We start from the raw sequence: 18381 nt of genomic DNA, 5'->3' as shown, positions 1-18381 counted from the left end.
ATTATTTCATAAGCAAACCACTTAATTAATTTTATGAGCTTTGGTTTCCTCATCCATAAAACACCTACCAGACAGTGTTGGTCTCAGAACTGGAGATGATGGAATGAGCCCAGCACTATGACTGGCCTCAAGAAAATTGTTGGCTAAACAGAGGTGCAGCCCTTAGAGCAGGCAACTTCAGTTTTTTTCTCCCTTCCCTGTGGGCGTGGCTTCCCAATCACCCACCCACCGAGAGGCCTCCTCCCCAGCACGCTGCAAGGGCCACTTTAAGGGGATCAGAAATATACAAAAACCACGGGGAAACATTTGGTCAGGACCTCAGCTTGGAAAAAAATGAAACAATCATGAAAATAAGTATTTTCTCTTCTTTTTTATATGTATGTATTTTTTTATTTTTATTTATTTATTTATTTATTTTTGAGACAGAGTCATGCTCTGTCGCCCAGGCTGGAGTGTGGTGGCGTGATCTCGGCTCACTGTAACCTCTGCCTCCCGGGTTCAAGTGATTCTTCCGCCTCAGCCTCCTGAGTACCTGGGATTACAGACGTGTACCACCACACCCGGCTAATTTTGTTGTTGTTGTTGTATTTTTAGCAGAGACAAGCTTTCACCATGTTGGCCAAGCTGGTCTCGAACTCCTGGCCTCAAGTCATCCGCCTGCCTCGGCCTCCCAAAGTGCTGGGATTACAGGCGTGAAACATTGTGGCTGGCCTTAATTTGTTTTTTTTTTAGAGACAGGGTCTTGCTCTGTCACCCAGGCTGAAGTACAGTGGCACGATCACAGCTTACTGCAGCCTCAAACTCCTGGGCTCAAGCGATCCTCCCACCCAGCCTGGGACTACAGGTGCACACCACCACACCTGTCTAATTTTTAAAAATGTTTGTCTAGATGGGTCTCACCGTGTGGCCCAGGCTGGTCTTGAACTCCCTGCCCCAAGCAATCCTTCCACCTTGGCCTCCCAGAGCACTCGGATTAGAGGCGTGGTATTTTATACTGTATTTAATAAAAGGGTTATAACTGCAACTGAACAAGCAGAAGGGGTGAGGTTGGTGATTCAATTTCCCACAGCTTTGTATGATAGCCTTTGGTGCTGGGCTTTTCCAGCAAACCAGGTTCGGCAAAAATGCAGAACTAGTTTAGAGCTGCAGTGGTTTTCTTTTTTCTTCTTTTTTTTTTTTTGGAAGGAGTCTTGCACTGTCACCCAGGCTGGAGTGCAGTGGAACACTCTCGACTCACTGCAGCCTCTGACTCCTGGGTTCAAGCCATTCGCCTGCCTCAGCCTCCCAAGTAGCTGGGATTCTAGGCTTGTGCCACCACGCCTGGCTAATTTTTATATTTTCTGTAGAGATGGGGTTTCACCATGTTGGCCAGGCTGGTCTGGAACTCCTGACCTCAAGTGATTCACCCGCGTCAGCCTCCCAAAGTGCTGGGATTACAGGCCTAAGCCACTGTGCCCAGCCGTCCAGTGGTTTTCTGAAAGCTTCTGCCAGTCCTTCGATGGTCAGCCTATTCTCTTGACAACCATCTGCTCCCCTTACGATTTTCTCTGATATCTCCCCTTATGATTGTCTCTTATCTCTAAGGGACCCGCCTCCCCCGTCCTCACATAGCCACTTCCGCAAATGTGGGACAGCTCTCCCTGCCACTCGTGGCCTTCGTGACAAGTTACATCTTTTGCAAGACTGGCAGCTTCACTTTGCACCTTCGTGTCTGCATTTTGGGGAAAGACCTGCCCTCAAAGCAAAGGCTTTCAGGCTACAGGCTGGCTTCAATGCTAGGGTGAGCGGTGAATAGTGTGCATAGTGAATACTTGCTTTCTGGTACAACCTCATAACCGGGGCACGGTCTCAGTGAATAACAGAGGACACCCTGCACCTAAGTTACTTTTTTTTTTTTTTTTTTTTGAGCTAGAGTCTCGCTCTGTAGTCCAGGCTGGAGTGCAGTGGCGCCGTCTCGGCTCACTGCAACATCTGCCTCCCCGGTTCAAGCGATTCTCATGCCTCAGCCTCCCCAGTAGCTGGGATTGTGGATGCATGCCACCACGCCCAGCTAATTTTTATATTTTTGGTACAGATGGGGTTTCACCATGTTGTCCAGGCTGGAGTCCAGTGGCGCCGTCTCGGCTCACTGCAACATCTGCCTCCCCGGTTCAAGCGATTCTCATGCCTCAGCCTCCCCAGTAGCTGGGATTATGGATGCATGCCACCACGCCCAGCTAATTTTTATATTTTTGGTAGAGATGGGGTTTCACCATGTTGGCCAGGCTGGTCTCGAACTCCTGAGCTCAACGGATCCTCCCACCTCGGTCTCCCAAAGTGCTGGGTTACAGGCGTGAGCCACCGCGCCCGAACCTAAGTTATAATATATTTTTTATCCCAGCTATGAGGTCACTCCTACACCCTGGACGGCAGCCTGTCTCCTGTCATGAGACAGGGCTGCCCTGCTGCACTGTGTGCACCCATCTTCAGCACTCTTCCGCCAGAGTCCAAGCAGGTGGTTTCTGACCAAACGGTCAGCAGGAAACCGGGAGTTCCTCTTGAACTTGGCCTTGTGCAAACCTGTTCTTGGCCAAGACCAGGGCAACATGCAACCAGACCTCGGCTCTTGCAACTTCCCCCCAGCAGAACTCACAACCTCCTGTCCTCAACTTAGAAATAACCCTGGGGCGGAGCCCGGCCCTCCCTGCATTCCTGCAGAGCCTCGGTCCACTCCAAGCAACATTTATTGAGGGTGGCGGGAGCCGCGCTGGACAGGGGTCGGGGCTGCCCTCGGCGTCCAGACGCCAGGCTCTATAGAACACGTATATACAGGCACGGGGCGGCAAGGGCCGAGACGCTAGCTGGGGACTGCGCTCCAGCCTCAGACGGCAGACGCCAGCTTCCGCTTGGTGCTCTCGCTGCAGCGGTTCAGGATGAGGTCGGCGCTCGGCCGCGGGGGCACCGCCGGCTGCGGTTTAGAGCGCTGCGTCTGCCGCTCCTCCTCTGCGGGCAGAGAGCGGGGCCGAGTCAGACGCCCCGCCCCGCACACTGGCCCCGCCCACAGCGCTCTCTGGCCTCGCCCCGCCGCGGTCTCCAACTCCTGCTCCGCGCTCTGGCCTCGCCTCCCGCTTGTGCCTCTCCCTCTGACTCCGCCTCTTAGGGATCGCTCCGCCCCCTAGCGCTGGCTCCTCCTCTGACCCCGCCTCCAGTCCCCGCCTCTCCCTCTGATTCCGCCCTCTGGTCCCGCCCCGCTACTCTGGCCCTACCTCTGGCCCCGCCTCTCCCGCTGACTCCGCCTCTAGGGCTTGCCCTTCCTGCCCTCTCCCGCTGCACTCACCGAGCGGGCTCCCGGGGCTCTGCGGTCCCGGCCGCGCCTGGCGGCGTCGCTGCTGCAGAAAACGGACGCTGTTGCGGCGATAGGCGTCCTGGCTGAGGCGCTTCCGCGACCGCTGGTGGATGCTGTGCGCGTTGCGGATGGACGACCTGGCCCAGCGGGACGGGGCGTCGTCAAAGCCCGAGGGCGCCCCTGCCCCCAGGGACTCAGATGGGCACCCCTGGTCCGAGGAAGTGGGGGGCAGTAGGGGGCCGGTAGTCTGCACGACCCCGGCGGGACAAGAGGCGGCTGCCCCCGTCACGACAAGGACCCTTGCCCTGCAGCAGAGCCTGGGCGGTTTTCCACGCCCCTCACCAGCCTTCGGTCTGTCGTCCCCCTCTCCGGGGACCCCCCCTGGACTGCCCATCCCCAAAGCCCCCGGGCATCGCCGCTTTCCTTCCGCCCCCGTGCCAGCCCCACACCGCGGCCAGGCGCGTCCAGCCCCTTTCCCCCGTGAGGGTCCTGCCTCTCCTGCCAGGCTGAGAGCCCCCGCCCCGGCACTGCCAAGCTATGGCCTAGACAGAGCGAACCCGTGGTGCGCCCCGCTCGACCCCGCCCAGCCCCGGGGACCCCCGCTTACCTGCGGGGCGGCGCCCCCCGCTTGATCTGGCGTTGGGCCTGGGACACGTCTTGCCCTGACTTTTGCAGGTACATGGACGGGAAGTAGCCTGTGACGTCGTCTTTCCTGCAACAGAGGCAGCCCTTGAGGCTGGGGCAGTCACCTGGGGGCGCCCAGAGGAGAGGGTTTCAGGGCTCTCTCTGAACAATTGGGGTTAGCACAGGCTGAGAGGTTGCAAACAACCGGACACCTGCCTCTGTGGGCCTCAGTTTCCTGGTCTGTGCAACTGAGACCCTTCCAGCAATCCTTCCACAGTCTAGGCAGGGGTGGAGGTTAGCAGATCCAGGTCACCGCAGGGGACAGGTATTTGCTATAAGACATTGGCAAGAATGGGCAGGGCACGGTCGCTCACGCCTGTAATCCCAGTACTTTGAGGGATCTAGGTGGGAGGATCGCTTGAGGCCAGGAGTTGGAGATCAGCCTGGGTAACATAGCAAGACCCCTATCTCTACCTCCCGAAAAAAGTAAAGAAAAAAGAAGACATTGGCGGATTATATTTGCCAATTTTTCTTTTATGTTAACTGCCTTCTGTCTCCTACGAACCTTTGCCTACCTCCAAGCCACCAAATTCTATGCTTTCTTCCAAATGCTTTTCCCCCGCCCAACCCCAAGACAGAGTTTTGCTCTTGTTGCCTAGGCTGGAGTGCAATGGCATGATGTCGACTCATTGCAACCTCTGCTTCCCAAGTTCAAGCAATTCTCCTGTCTCAGCTTCCCAAGTAGCTGGGATTACAGGCATGCACCACCACACTTGGTTAATTTTGTATTTTTTTAGTAGAGACAGGATTTCACCATGTTGGTCATGGCTGGTCTCAAACTCCTGACATCAAGTGATCCACCTGCCTCAGCCTCCCAAAGTGCTGAGATTACAGGCGTGAGCTCCCTGTCCAGCCCCAAATGGTTTTTAGTTTCAGGTTTTACTCTGGGATAAACCTGTGATCCATCTGAAGTAAACATATGTGTACAGTGTGAGGAAGGGGTCTAGGTTTGTTTTTTGCTCTTTTTTTTTTTTTTCCAGTATGGAAATCCATCTGTTCCAGCACCATTTGTTGAAAAGACTTTCTTTCTATTCTCAATATTATATTTGGGAGTGAAAAAAAAAACAAAAGAAAACTTTGCATAATACAAGGTTCACATAAAACCCAATTCTTGGCTGGTGGGAGGATCACAAGAAGATTATCAGAGACACAGGATGGGGGTTAACAGAGTGTGTGTCTAAAAGGCTGAGAAATGCTGCCTCAAAGCCCTCTGGCCCCGGGCCCGGCTGCAGGTATGCATGTTGTGGTCCCAGCTTTAAGATAAGCTTGCGGCAGGGCGCCAGGCTGGCCCTGTGACCTAGGGCTCTGAAGACGCCAGCAAAGGCCCAGCATGGAGGCTCATTCCTGTAATCCCAGTGCTTTGGGAGGCCAAGGCAGGAGGAACTCTTGAGGCCAGGAGTTTAAGACTAGTCTTGGCACCATAGTGAGACCCCATCCCTACAAAAAAATTAAAAAACATTAGCCAGATGTGGTGGTGCTCACCTGTAGTCCCAGCTACGTGGGAGCCTGAGGTGGGAGGATCGCTTGAGTGAGCGATGATTGTGCTCCAGCTTGGGAGTCAGAGCAAGATCCTGTCTCAAAAAATGAAAAAATTCGTAAAAAATGAAGACACAGGAAAGGACCTGGGAGGCCCCATGGCTCCAGGGAAATGGCTCCACAAGCCGCTAGAATTCTGTGTTCCCCAGAACCAGAAAAAAGATAATTAGTATTTCTGCATTCATTTGGAGGATAAACAGATGGGAATTGCAATGGAAGCTTTTTTTTTTTTTTTTTTTTTGAGACAGGGTCTTGCTCCATCACCCAGGCTGGGGTGCAGTGGTGCAGTCATAGCTCACTGCAGCCTCCAACTCCTGGGGTCAAGTGATCCTTTCACCTCAGCCTCCTGAGTAGCTGGGGCTACAGGTGTGTGCTACCACATCCAGCTATTTTTTAATTTTTTTTGTAGAGACAGAGGTCTCCCTACATTGCCCAGGTTGGTCTTGAACTTGTAGCCTTGAGTGATCCTCCCACCTCAGCTTCCCAAAGTGTTGGGATTACAGGCATGAGACACTGCACCTGACTGCAAGAAAGCTTTAAAAGATAAAGGAATGATAAAAAGAAAGTAATCTTTTTTTTTTTTTTTTTTTTTGAGACGGAGTTTCGCTCTCGTTGCCCAGGCTGGAGTGCAATGGCGCGATCTTGGCTCACTGCAACCTCCGCCTCCCGGGTTGAAGTGATTCTCTTGTCTCAGACTCCCGAGTAGCTGGGATTACAGGCTCCCACCACCACACCCGGCTCATGTTTGTGTTTTTAGTAGAGATAGGGTTTTGCCATGTTGGCCAGGGTGGTCTCGAACTCCTGACCTCACATGATCGTCCTGTCCTGGGCTCCCAAAGTGCTGGGATTACAGGCCTGAGCCATTGCGCCTAGCTAGGAATGTAATTATTTATACAACAGTTCACCATGTTGCCAGAGAAGGAATAATAATAGATGGTTGGGAAGAGACCCTAAATCACAAAGGAGAAATGCACCCACTTGGACAAGGACATTGGATCCCCACAAGACAGGCAAGGGTGGGCTCATTCCTCCCTGCTACTGAGATGGAAACTAAGCCCAGAGAGGGGCAGTGGCTTACCCAGAGTCCCAGGGACAAGTCACCCCAGATCCCTAAACACCCCGTCCTGGCTGGGGCTGACTCAGATGGGTGCTCTGGATGGAGAGGGGCCCTCCTACCTGATGACCCACCAGCCGTCCAGGAGCTTGTGAATGACCTCAACAGCTTCACCCTCGAGCAGGGACACCTCGTCCCCCTCCACAGCAGTGTAGGCCTTGATGGCGACGTATGGCTCACCTGGTCCACGGCAGGGGCACAGAGCACAGTGTGAGGTCGGCCCAGCCTGGGGCTCGCCACCCATCCCATCTTCTCCTCTCTGCGCCTGGGCTTCCTCCAGGCACTCCAGACCCACCCAGGGCCCACAGTTCCCCCTCTTCTGGGTCTCCTCCCTCCACCCTCCTGCTCCATCCCAGATCCCTCGGCAAGCTCCTGCTGGCACCCACTCTGGGGGTACACTCTGGACTTCGGCCCTCTGCCCCCTACACCCAGGTGAGCTTGTCCACTCCCATTCATTGCCACCCACTCTGGGGACCAGAGATCCCATAACGATGAAGGTCTGTCCAGACACTTCACTATGACAAGAGATCAGCCATGAGTAGGTGGGTGGAGCATCCGTCTACCTGGCACTGGGAACTGCTCAGCTGCAGCTAACTGTCGGCCTGGGGGCTGCAGGCCTTCCCAGTGTTTAAACGATAGCCACAGGCTGGGCAAGGTGGTTCCCACCTGTAATCCTAGCACTTTGGGAGGCCAAGGCGGGCGGATCACCTGAGGTCAGGAGTTCGAGACCAGCCTGGCCAACATGGCGAAACCCCATCTCTACTAAAAATACAAAAAATTAGCCTGGCGTGGTGGTGCATGCCTGTAATCCCAGCTACTCAGGTGGCTGAGGCAGGAGAATTGCTTGAACCCAGGAGGCTAAGGTTGCAGTGAGCTGAGATTGCATTACTGCACTCCAGCCTGGGTGACAGAGCCAGACTTTGTCTCAAAAAAAAAAAAAAAAGCTGTAAATCCACATAAAAGGGTGAAATCACTCCATTTTAAAATGTGGGTAACCAGGCCAGGGACAGTGGCTCACATCTGTAATTCCAGCACTTTGGGAGGCCAAGGCAGGCAGATCACCTGAGGTCAGAAGTTCGAGACCAGTCTGGCCAACCTGGTGAAACCCCGTCTCAACTAAAAATACAAAAATTATCCAGGCATGGTGGTGCATGCTTGTAATCCCAGCTACTTGGGGAGGCTGAGGCTGGAGAATCACTTGATCCTGGGAGGCAGAGGTTGCAGTGAGCTGAGATAGCACCACCGCACTCCAGCCTTAGCAAGGGAGTGAGACTCTATCTCAAAAAAGTAAAATAAATAAATAAATAATAAAATAAAATGGTAACCAATTCTATTATAGTTTTTTTCAAGCTCAATGCAGGCCCCATCCAGCCCTGGCACTGCCAGTTTTCCCTTTCTGGTCAGTGATGATGCCCCCACTTCCAGGCAGCCCTCCTTCCTGAGCCTAAGGTCTGCTCATCCTTCAGCTTCCCACTGAACCTGGCCACATATCCACAGACACCACTGGCCTCCCACTCTCCCCAGTCGTCTGCTCCTCCTCCTGGTTCCCTGTCCAGACCAAGGGCATCACAACCTGCCAGGGCCCCCAAGCCAGAGTCGATGAGATCTTAGCCCTGACTTTTCTGCCAAGCCAGCAACCAGCCCAGACTCCAAAGCAGTCACTCAATATCCCTGAGCCCTGCCTGCCCCTTTCTCCCACACCCCTACAGCCTCGGAGGGCAGGGGGCACCTGCATAGTTGGGCTCAGGGTCTTCCGTCTCGTCAGGACTGTCCAGGGGCTCGAGGAAGGACGCTGGGATCCAGCCTCGCTTTGCTTTCATCTGACAGAACCACCAACCTGTGCCAGAGGTGCGGGAATGTGACTGAGGGGCAGGGCCCAGCGGCTCCCTGCAGCCATCAGGGATGGTGAGGACACAGGGACACAGACACACTGATGTCCAATGCTCAGATTTGGAAATGTCACCTTCACCACACTGGACAATGAGGTCACATGCATGCATGCACACATGCTCACAGAATCACAGCTCTGAGCCCACTTCATAATGAACAGACGGTCCCATACCCATCCAGACAGAACACGCAGACATGCCCCGCCCCGGCCTGCCATGCACAGATGCCCACAGCCACCACAGGGTGCACACTAAGACAGAAGGCGACCCACAGTGTGGGGAGGACATTTAGGGCCCCTAACAGAGCCGGAGTCCTCCCAGGGGCAAGGCTGCCTGAGCCTTGGCAGGGGGCTTGTGGCTGTGGGTTCCTGAGCACCAGGGGAAGGAGCCCCGTAAGGTGGGAGGTCTGACCGCTCTCGCTCTTCTCTACGACCTCCACCACGTCCCCCGTGGACAGAGCCATCTCGGAGCCCGAGGTCTTCTCGTAGTTGGCAATGGCGCGGTACGTCTGCAGGATGATGGGGCCGGTGATGTCTGGGGCAAGAGGGAGGGCAGGGTGAGTGGGCATTGCAGGGCCCATCTGGGCCTCCAGAACAGGCGCTGGCATCTTGAGTCTCTGCTGCCCTGCATTTCCTGGGCGCATAGCGTTCTCCAGGCTTCGGCCTCACACTTCAAACATGTCCTTGTTCTCATCTGATGAAGTTAGTGAGCCTTTCCCAACTTTATTTTCTTTTTTGGAGACAGAGTCTTGCTCTGTTGCCCAGGCTAGAGTACAGTGACGTGATCACAGCTCACTACAGCCCTGGACTCCTAGGCTCAAGCAATCTCCCTGCCTCAGCCTCCCGAATAGCTGGGACCATAGACGTATGCCACCACACCCGGCTAATTTTTTGTAAAGACAAGGTCTTGGGACAATGCCCAGGCTGGTCTCGAACTCCTGGGCTCAAAGGATTCTCCCACCTCAGCCTCTTAAAGTGTTGGGATTACAGGTGTGGAGCCACTGCACCTGGCCTTTTCCCAACTTTTTTTTTTTTTTTTTTGAGATGGAGTCTCGCTCTGTCACTGGAGTGCAGTGGTGCAATCTTGGCTCATTGCAACCTCCACCTCCCAGGTTCAAGTAATTCACCTGCCTCAGCCTCCCAAGTAGCTGGGACTACAAGCACCCGCCACCACACCTGGCTAATTTTTGTATTTTTAGTAGAGATGGAGTTTCACGATATTGGTCAGGCTGGTCTCGAACTCCTGACCTCAGGTGATTCAACCGCCTCGGCCTCCCAAAGTGCTGGGATTACAGGCATGAGCCACAGTGCCTGACCTTTTCCTAACTTTAAGGTGCACCCGAATACCTGGGATTTTGCTAAAATGCCTATCCTGTTCAGTAGGTCCACTGTGGGACCTGAGTGTGCATTTCTGACCAGCCCTTCATCCAACCGTGGAGGTGCTGATGCTGTTTAGTATTGGCTGACATCCGCCTTCTCAAAATTCATATGTTGAAGTCCTAACCACCCAGTACCTTACAGTGTGGGTGTATTAAGAGAAAGGTACTCTTAAGTACGTTTCAAGAGGTAATTAAATTAAAATGAGGTCAGTAGAGTGGGCCCTAACCCAACAGGCCTCGTGTCCTTATAAGAAGAAGAAAAAGCCGGGCACAGTGGCTCATGTCTATAATCTCAGCACTTTGGGAGGCTGAGGCAGGAGGGTTGCTTGAGGCCAAGAGCTTAAGACCAGCTTGGGCAATGTAGTGAGACCCCATCTCTACCAGAAAATTAAAAATTAGCTGGACATGGTGGCACACACCTGTAATCCCAGCTACTTGGGAGGCTGAGGTGGGAGGATCGCTTCAGCCCAGGAGGTCGAGGCTGTAGTGAGCTATGATCACACCACTTCACTCTAGCCTGGGCAACAGAGCGAGACCCTGTCACTGAAAACAACAAAAACAAAATAGTGGCTGGCACAGAGTAAGCACTCCATTAATGTTAGGTATTATTATTATTATTGTTATTAGCAGTGACTGTGCAATAAGTATTAGAAACTGCCACAGCCCTGCATCGCCTCTGAAGGCCACACTGCCCTCCAAAACCTGTTCATTCATTCAGCCGCAAACACTCCCCCGGCTGCCAGTAGCAAGGGTCTGCGCTGGTCTCTGCACTGCCACCTGCAAAGGGCTCCTTTCAGTCTCCAGGGACCTTCCAAAGACCCAATTCTTCTTTTTTTTTTTTTTTTTTTTTGAGATGGAGTCTGGCTCTGCTGCCCAGGCTGGAGTGCAGTGGCACGATCTCGGCTCACTGCAAACTCCGTCTTCCGGGTTCAAGCAATTCTCCTGCCTCAGCCTCCCAAGTGGCTGGGACTACAGGCACCTGTCACCACGCCTGGCTAATTTGGATTTTTAGTAGAGACAGGGTTTCTCCATGTTGGCCAGGCTGGTCTCAAACTCCTGACCTCAAGTGATCCACCTGCCTCGGCCTCCCAAACTGCTGGGATTACAGGCATGAGCAACCGCACCCGGCCCAAAGACCCAATTCTTCAGCAGGGTAGCTGTGAGCCCTCCCAGCCTGCTCCCAGCCCCTGCTCCATTCCCTGAACACTCTGGGTCTCCTCAGGGTGTCCCCCCCCGCCGGCTGCCCCCCGTCCTCTCACCTGTCGCGGTACTCTTGCCATCTTTGGGCATCAAGTATGTCTCTGGCTTTTTTGTCCTGAGGAGAGAACAGTCTGGGTGAGACCCTTGGCTTCCCATGGAGGAAGAAGAGGCACTGGGTAGACCTGCAGAAGAACTTCCCAAGAGAAGAGGGACCCGGGAAAGGGAAGGGGCACTGCGGAGAGAAGACAGCAACTGGACTGGCTGAGGAAGGGCTTCAGGAAGTGATGGGGGCGGGCGGATCTGCTCGGGCAGCCCAAGGGAGGGACATGAGGAGGACACTGCATAGCCTTCTGCAGACCCAAAGGATGCCCTAAGCCTGGAAAATGCTCTTGCGGGCTCCCAGGCCATCTTCTTTCTTCTTTTCTTTTTTTTTTCTTAGACAGAGTCTCGCTCTGTCACCCAGGCTGGAGTGCAGTGGCGCAGTCTCAGCTCACTGCAACCTCTGCCTCCCGGGTTCAAGCGATTCTCCTGCCTCGGCCTCCCAAGTAGCTGGGATTACAAGCGCACACCACCATGCCTGACTAAATTTTTATATTTTTGGTAGAGATGGGGTTTCACCATGTTGGCCAGGCTGGTCTCAAACTCCCAACCTCAGGTGATCTGCCCACCTCGACCTTCCAAAGTGCTGGGATTATACGTGTGAGCCACTGTGCCCGGCCTCTTCCTCCTTCTGGAGCCCTGAGAGAGCAGGCAATGAGGAGCGGACCCCACTGCAGAGTCCATCCTTCCCCCGCCTCCCGGGCTGATGATAACTGCCCTTCCTTGGGCCAGGGGACACCTTCAAGCGTCAATAAGTGCTGGCCGGAGCAATGCTGCTTGTCTCTGTCTTGGCAGCCTGGGTGCCTTGACAAGGGGTAACGTCCTGTCCTCATGCTCCCCACTTCGAGCTTCAGTGACCAGAGAGGAGTGGAGAAGGGGACTTCCCCAGCCTGCCTGGAGCTCCCTCAGCCTCTCAGGTGCCTTCCACACAGGGTCCTGGGTACAGGAGACCCCAGACATGCTCAGCACTTAGCAGAGGCATCAACCCCACATCCTTCTGGGGGGCTCCGCAAGACACCCAATGCTTCATCTGATCCTCACTGCCCATTATAGAAATGGAGAACCTGCATTCAGAGAGCAGTGGTGACTGGCTCCAGGTCCCATGGCCAGGTGGCCATAATGTCAGGATGAGGACCCAGGACTTTGAACCTCCAGCCCCGAGTGCTTCCCCCAGTGCCCTGAGGTGTGAAAGATTAAGGTGGAGGCTTGGCGGGGTCACAGGGGCCGGAGGTGGAATTTGCCTCCTCTTTCTGGCTGTGTGGCTCTGGGAAGGTGGCTTTCCCTCTCTGAGCCTTGGTTTCCTCATCTGCAAAACACAGAAAGTCCCACCCCTCCTTCCCTCTCCCACCTGGCAGGGTGAAAAGTTCACTCACTGGTTGTCCGTGGGGAGCTTGAGGTCATCAGGGCGCACCTTGAAGAAGTCGAGGAGGTGGGGACAGCGGGAGATCTTGGTGGGCAGGCTCATGAGCGTGCTGCAGTACTCGGTAAGTGTGCCCTGGCGGTTCTCGGCGGCCCGCTGCCCGTCAAACCACTTGGGAGCTGGCACCAGAGAACATGAGGTCAAGCCCGAGAGGGGCTGGGAGGGCAGGTGAGCCCCCGCCAATGACCCCCTGACAGGCGGCTCAGCCCCGTGCTCACCTGGGAGGTGGGGGATGATCCTGTTCTCTGGATTGATCGCCCCTGCCTCAATAGGGAACATTTCTTTTAAGGTTTTCTAAACATTAAAAAGACAAGAAGACGTGAAGGAATATTTGTAGTTTACAACACTTGGAAAAGCACGAGATTGGAAGTGACCTAAATACCTCTCAAAACCACCTAAAAGGCCGAGCATGGTGGCTCACGCCTGTAATCCCAGCACTTTGGGAGGCTGTCGTGGGTGGATCACTTGAGGTCAGGAGTTCAAGACCAGCCTGGCCAACGTGGTGAAACCCCGTCTCTACTAAAAATACAAAAATTAGCCGGGAGTGGTGGCACATGCCTGTAATCCCAGCTACTCAGGAGGCTGAGGTGGGAGAATCGCTTAAACCTGGGAGGCGGAGGTTACAGTGAGCCGAGATGGTGCCACTGCACTCCATCCTGGGTGACAGAGTGAGACACTACCTAAATATCTCGGGCCTAGAAATTTCGGTGGCAATCTGGATTCCTTGATTAGCAGAGGCACTGACCTCTCTCCCTCCCATGTGCAAGTCACCAGCAAATCCTTTTGCTTCCAATCCCCAAATCTCTTTGGGATCTGACTGCTTCCCACCAACCCCACCCTCCTGGCCCTAGCCACTACCAGGCCTGGATAACGAAAATGGCCTCCTTGTGTCCCCCGTCCACTCTTGTCTGTCCTCAATCCAGTCGCCAAAGGGATCCTCTTAAAACTCAGGTTGACCAGGTGCAGGGGCTCAAACCTGTAATCCTAGCAATTTGGGAGGCTGAGGCGGGAGGATCACTTGAGTCCAGGAGTTAGAGACCAGCCTGGGCAACATAGCGAAATCCCATCTCTACAAAAAACAAATCAGGAAAAGGAGCCAGGTGTGGTGGTGCACACCTGTGATCTCAACATGGGAGGCTGAGATGGGAGAATCGCTTCAGCCCTGGAGGTTGAGGCTGCAGTGAGCCGTGATTGCACCACTGCACCCCAGCCTGGGTGACAGAGCAAGACCCCATCTCAAAAGAAAAGCAAATATAAAAAAACTGATAACTCATTCTTAAAAAGGTACAAATGTAAAATTTAGGAAAATAACTAACATAGGGACGAGAACCACAAGGAGAATGTTCACCAGCAGGTGCATTTATTTGGGATCTAGAACTTGGCTTTGTTTTTCAAAAGCGACAAGAATGGTTCCATTCTAGGAAGGTTCTGGGAGATCCTGTCTGTTTTACTTTAAAATGAGAATCTGGTGTTTCTGTGTTTTATTGTTTTCAGTAAGACTACTTAAATGTTTCAGGGGGAAAAATGTTTTTTTCTTTTAATGCCCCCTTAGCTTTGGGAGGCCAAGGCAGGAGGATCACTTGAGGTCTGGAGTTCAAGACCAGCCTGGGCAACATAGTGAGATCCCCATCTTTATAAAAAATACAAAAATTAGCCACACATGGTGATGCGCACCTATAGTCCCAGCTACTCAGGAGGCTGAGGCAGGAGGATCGCTTGAGCCCCAGAGGTCGAGGCTGCAGTGAGCTATGATTGCGCCCCTGCACTGCAAACCTAAATACCTCTCAAAACCACCTAAAAGGCCGAGCGTGGGGGCTCATGCCTGTAATCAGAGAACATGAGGTGTTCAGAGTGGTGACAGAGCAAGACCCTGTCACAAAAATTTATATAAATAAATAAATCCCCTTTAACTGTGGTCTGGGAGGGGATTCTGGGTTCTGCAGTTTCCCCATCACCTGGGCTAAGGTCCTTCCCAAAGGGTGGAGCTGGAACGGTGGGTCCCTGTCCCTCCTCCATCCCCACACTCACATGGAACTCGTAGATCTCGGTGAAGCGCCGGTAGACCACCTTCTCCGACAGGTCCTGCCATTTCACCAGGAACATGTACACCTGGGGGAAAGCCAGAGTCGGGGGACCCCATTCAGCCTCCAAAGAGGCTTTGCTGTGTGCACCCAGGATCCCACTACCCACTGGAGGAAGCCCAGAGGATTGGGGTGAGGACCATCTTTGCGGTTGTCCTGGATTGCAGAAAGGGCACAAACGTGGACCCAAGTGCTGCCACGCCCCAGCCTTGAGACCCAGGGCAAGAGGGTCAGCTTCTCTCAAATGGACTCATCTGTAAATTGGAGATAAAAGTAGGACCTAGGCTGGGCACGGTGGCTCACACCTGGAATCCCAGCACTTTTTAGTACCGAGGTGGGAAGATCGCTTGAGTCCAAGAGTTTGAGACCAGCCTGGGCAACATAGCGAGACCCCCATATCTACTAAAAACACAAAAATTGTCCGGGTGTGGTGCCGCACACCTGTGGCCCCAGGTGAGGCAGGAGAATTGCTTGAGACTTGGAGGTCAAGGCTTTAGTGAGCTATGATTGCACCACTGCACTCCAGCTTGGGTGGGGAGGGGAGGGGAAGGGAGGGGACAGGAGGAGAGGGGAGGGGACGGGAGGGGCAGGAAGGCTGGGCATGTTGGCTCCCGTCTGTAATCCCAGCACTTTGGGAGGCCAAGGCAGGTGGATCACCTGAGGTCAGGCGTTCAAGACCAGCCTGACCAATATGGTGAAACCCTGTCTCTACTAAAAACACAAAAATTACCCGGTAGTGGTGATGGGCACCTGTGATCCCAGCTACTTGGGAGGCTGGGACAGGATAATTGCTTGAACCCGGGAGGCGGAGGCTGCAGTGAGCTGAGGTTGTGCCACTGCACTCCAGCCTGGGTGACAGAGCGAGACTCCCTCTCAAAAAAATTAAAAAGAAGACAGAATTGCATCTAAGATCCACTGCCCTGGATACACAAACTGAATCTAATGAAGATAAACCCAAACTAAGGGACATTCTACAAGGTAACTGGTCTGCTCTCTGCAAAACATCAAAGTTGCAAAAGACAAAGACTGATTAAGACCGATCCAGAATCCGCTGGCACGGTGGCTCACGCCTGTAATCCCAGCACTTTGGGAGGTCGAGGCGGGCAGATCACCTGACGTCAGGAGTTCGAGATCAGCCTGGCTAACATGGTGAAACCCTGTCTCTACTAAAAATACAAAAAGTAGCCGGGCATGGTGGCGCATGCCTGTAATCCCAGCTACTCGGGAGGCTGAGGCACGAGAATTGCTTGAACCTGGGAGGCGGAGGATGCAGTGAGTGGAGATTGTGCCATTGCACTCCAGCCTGGGTGACAGAGTAAGACTCCATCTCATAAAAAAAAAAAAAAGACTGATCCAGAATCAATATGGCAAAACCCTGTCTCTACCAAAAAATGCGAGCTGGGCATGGTGGCGCGCACCTGTATTCCCAGCTACTCAGGAGGCTGAGGCAGGAGAATCTCTTGAACCCAGGAGGCAGAGGTTGCAATGAGCCGAGATTGCACCACTGCACTCCAGTCTGGCGACAGAGTGAGATTCCGTGTCCAAAAAAAGAAAAAGAAAAAGAAAAAAGACTGATCCAGATTAAAGAAGGTTAAAGGCTATGACATTGATCCTTGACTGGATCCTAGACCTGAAAAAAGTTTTCACTGCAGAGGACAAGCAGGATAATCGGGGAAACCTCAGTAAAGTCTGTGGGTGGATAATGGTGTTTTGTCCATGTTAATTTCCTGATTTTGACACGTGTGTTGTGATTATGTAAGAGAATGCCTTGATTTTAAGAAATGCCCAACAACTAGTATTTAGAGGTAAAGAAACACGTCTTCAACTCACTCTCAAATAATTCAGAAAATATCCCCAGAAAGAGAGGTGTGGATGAAGGTGAGTGAAAGACTATTGGAGTGACTGGTACCGTTTTGACACCCAGTAGCCTTTCTGTAAATTTGAAATTTCAAAACTGAAAGTTACAAAGAAAAGGAGAAAAGTGACTAGGCACGGTAGCTCACGCTTGTAATCCTAGCACTGTGGGAGGCTGAGACCAGAGGGTTGCTTAAGCCGAGGAGTTCAAGATTAGCCTGGACAACATAGTGAAACCTCATCTCCACAAAAATTTTAAAAACTAGCCAGGCATGGTGGTGTGCGCCTGTAGCCCCAGCTACTCAAGGGGCTGAGGCAGGAGGATCACTTGGGCCTGGGAGGTCGAGGCTGCAGTGAACTATGATCGCACCACTGCACTCCAGACCTCATTTCAAAAAAACAGGCCAGGCACGGTGGCTCATGCCTGTAATCCCAGCACTTTGGGAGGCCCAGGTGGGTGGATCACTTGAGGTCAGGAGTTTGAGACCAGTCTGGCCAACATGGTGAAACCCTGTCTCTACTAAAAATACAAAAATTAGCCAGGCGTGGTGGTGGGCACCTGTAATCCCAACTACTCTGGAGGCTGAGGCAGGAGAACCAGTTGAACCTGGAAGGCGGAGGTTGCAGTGAGCTGAGATCGTGCCACTGCACTCTGGCCTGGGCAACAGATCAAGACTCTGTCTCAAAAAACAAAAAAATAACAAAAAAGAGAAAGGTCTTGGCACATAGGACTAAATGTTCCATACAAGCTTCAATTTCCTAAATGTAGTTCCTCCCTGGCCTTCCTATGGGATTAGGGGACCCAGTGGACTTGTGTGTCTGAGCAGGCATTTGTCCAGCCTCCTTGGGGACAGATGGGAGGACTCTATTGGCCCCTGTCATGGTGTCACCCTACTGGAGAGGATAAGACTCTAACTGACACTACAGGCAGCTGGGGAGAGAGAGAGCTTTAGTTTCCAGGCCTCCCTCTTGGGAGGGCCACTCTCTGATAGCTGGGCTAGTCAGGGAAGGCTTCCTGGAGGAGTGGGCCTCGGACCTGAGAGAGCGCTGGGCTGCCTGGCCATGGCAGGGGAGCAGAAAGAGGACTCCTGGCTAAGGCTGAGGGCCTGGCTGGGGACACAGGCGGGGACAGTAAAGGGCTGGGGCCCAGGGCGGGTCCAAGGGAACTGTCTTCCCAGGGATCAGAGGGGTAGATCCAGGCTCAAAGACCAGGGACCAGGTGCCCAAGACCCTGCCCCGTTAGTCCTCACTGGAGCTGGTTGGCCCTGGGACTGCAAGGGTGGCCGTGCTGTCCCTCCCGTATTCCCCCCACGGGATGCCCTCCACCAGCTACTCACATAGTGCTGGCTGGGTACGAAGCGCTTCTCAAAGCCCAGCAGGGCGATGTGACGGATGAAGGTGTCCCCCATGACTGGGTGGCCTCCAGTGCTCCCTGGCACTTCCAGGCTGCGCCTTAAATGCACTGGAAAGAGGAAGTCGCTTTTGTCGCGGTCGGGACAGGGGGCAGGGAGGGTACAGAAAGGGCTTTGCTTCTTCTTTCAGTTTCTGGGGACTCTTCAGGCTTGCAGGGTGTAAACATGGGCAGACTCATGTTCACACACACCTGCAGGGACAAGGAAAAGGGTTTACACTTGTCCTTCCCGTCGCCTGCACGGGCCCCACGGGTTTTGGGGGTGAATCAAGCTGCTCCTGCCTCAGGGCCTTTGCATTTGCTGCGTCCCCTTGACCATCTTTCCCCCCTTGACCATATTCCTGGTCTTGACCATGTTCCCCCCATTCACCATCTTCCCTCCATAACTCT

The 18381-nt window shown here is 53.6% G+C and overlaps 1 protein-coding gene across 1 annotated transcript, besides 4 other annotated features; it reads right to left on the bottom strand.

The window, feature by feature from the left end:
• Positions 1–18381: part of a biological region, named in NCBI's record as "Williams-Beuren syndrome medial block B recombination region", that runs on past both edges of the window. NCBI's record gives its function as "recombination_partner: LOC106029311 | LOC106029313".
• Positions 1–18381: part of a non allelic homologous recombination region, noted in NCBI's record as "sub-region SSN3'-SSN6', recombines with sub-region SSN3-SSN6 within the WBS centromeric block B recombination region", that runs on past both edges of the window. NCBI's record gives the evidence for it as "EXISTENCE:restriction fragment detection evidence [ECO:0001124][PMID:12796854]".
• Positions 2295–2954: an enhancer, noted in NCBI's record as "H3K4me1 hESC enhancer chr7:74203411-74204070 (GRCh37/hg19 assembly coordinates)". NCBI's record gives its function as "activates a minimal SCP1, AML or CMV promoter by ChIP-STARR-seq in naive H9 embryonic stem cells {active_cell/tissue: H9 hESC(naive)}" and the evidence as "EXISTENCE:reporter gene assay evidence [ECO:0000049][PMID:30033119]".
• NCF1 (neutrophil cytosolic factor 1) lies at positions 2706–18010 on the bottom strand. The gene is made up of 11 exons (NM_000265.7): positions 17918–18010; positions 14674–14754; positions 12864–12939; positions 12599–12764; positions 11186–11241; positions 8960–9082; positions 8389–8496; positions 6722–6839; positions 3933–4037; positions 3317–3462; positions 2706–2982 (listed from the first exon to the last, which is right to left on the bottom strand). The coding sequence occupies exons 1-11, from the start codon at positions 17987–17989 to the stop codon at positions 2861–2863; spliced, it is 1173 nt and encodes a 390-aa protein (NP_000256.4). The 5' UTR covers positions 17990–18010; the 3' UTR covers positions 2706–2860.
• Positions 3833–4535: an enhancer, noted in NCBI's record as "H3K27ac-H3K4me1 hESC enhancer chr7:74201830-74202532 (GRCh37/hg19 assembly coordinates)". NCBI's record gives its function as "activates a minimal SCP1, AML or CMV promoter by ChIP-STARR-seq in naive H9 embryonic stem cells {active_cell/tissue: H9 hESC(naive)}" and the evidence as "EXISTENCE:reporter gene assay evidence [ECO:0000049][PMID:30033119]".

This window comes from Homo sapiens, chromosome 7 (genome assembly GCF_000001405.40).
Source record: "Homo sapiens chromosome 7, GRCh38.p14 Primary Assembly".
NCBI classification, from domain to species: Eukaryota; Metazoa; Chordata; class Mammalia; order Primates; family Hominidae; genus Homo; species Homo sapiens.
This window is presented reverse-complemented; position numbering and strand designations above follow the sequence as displayed.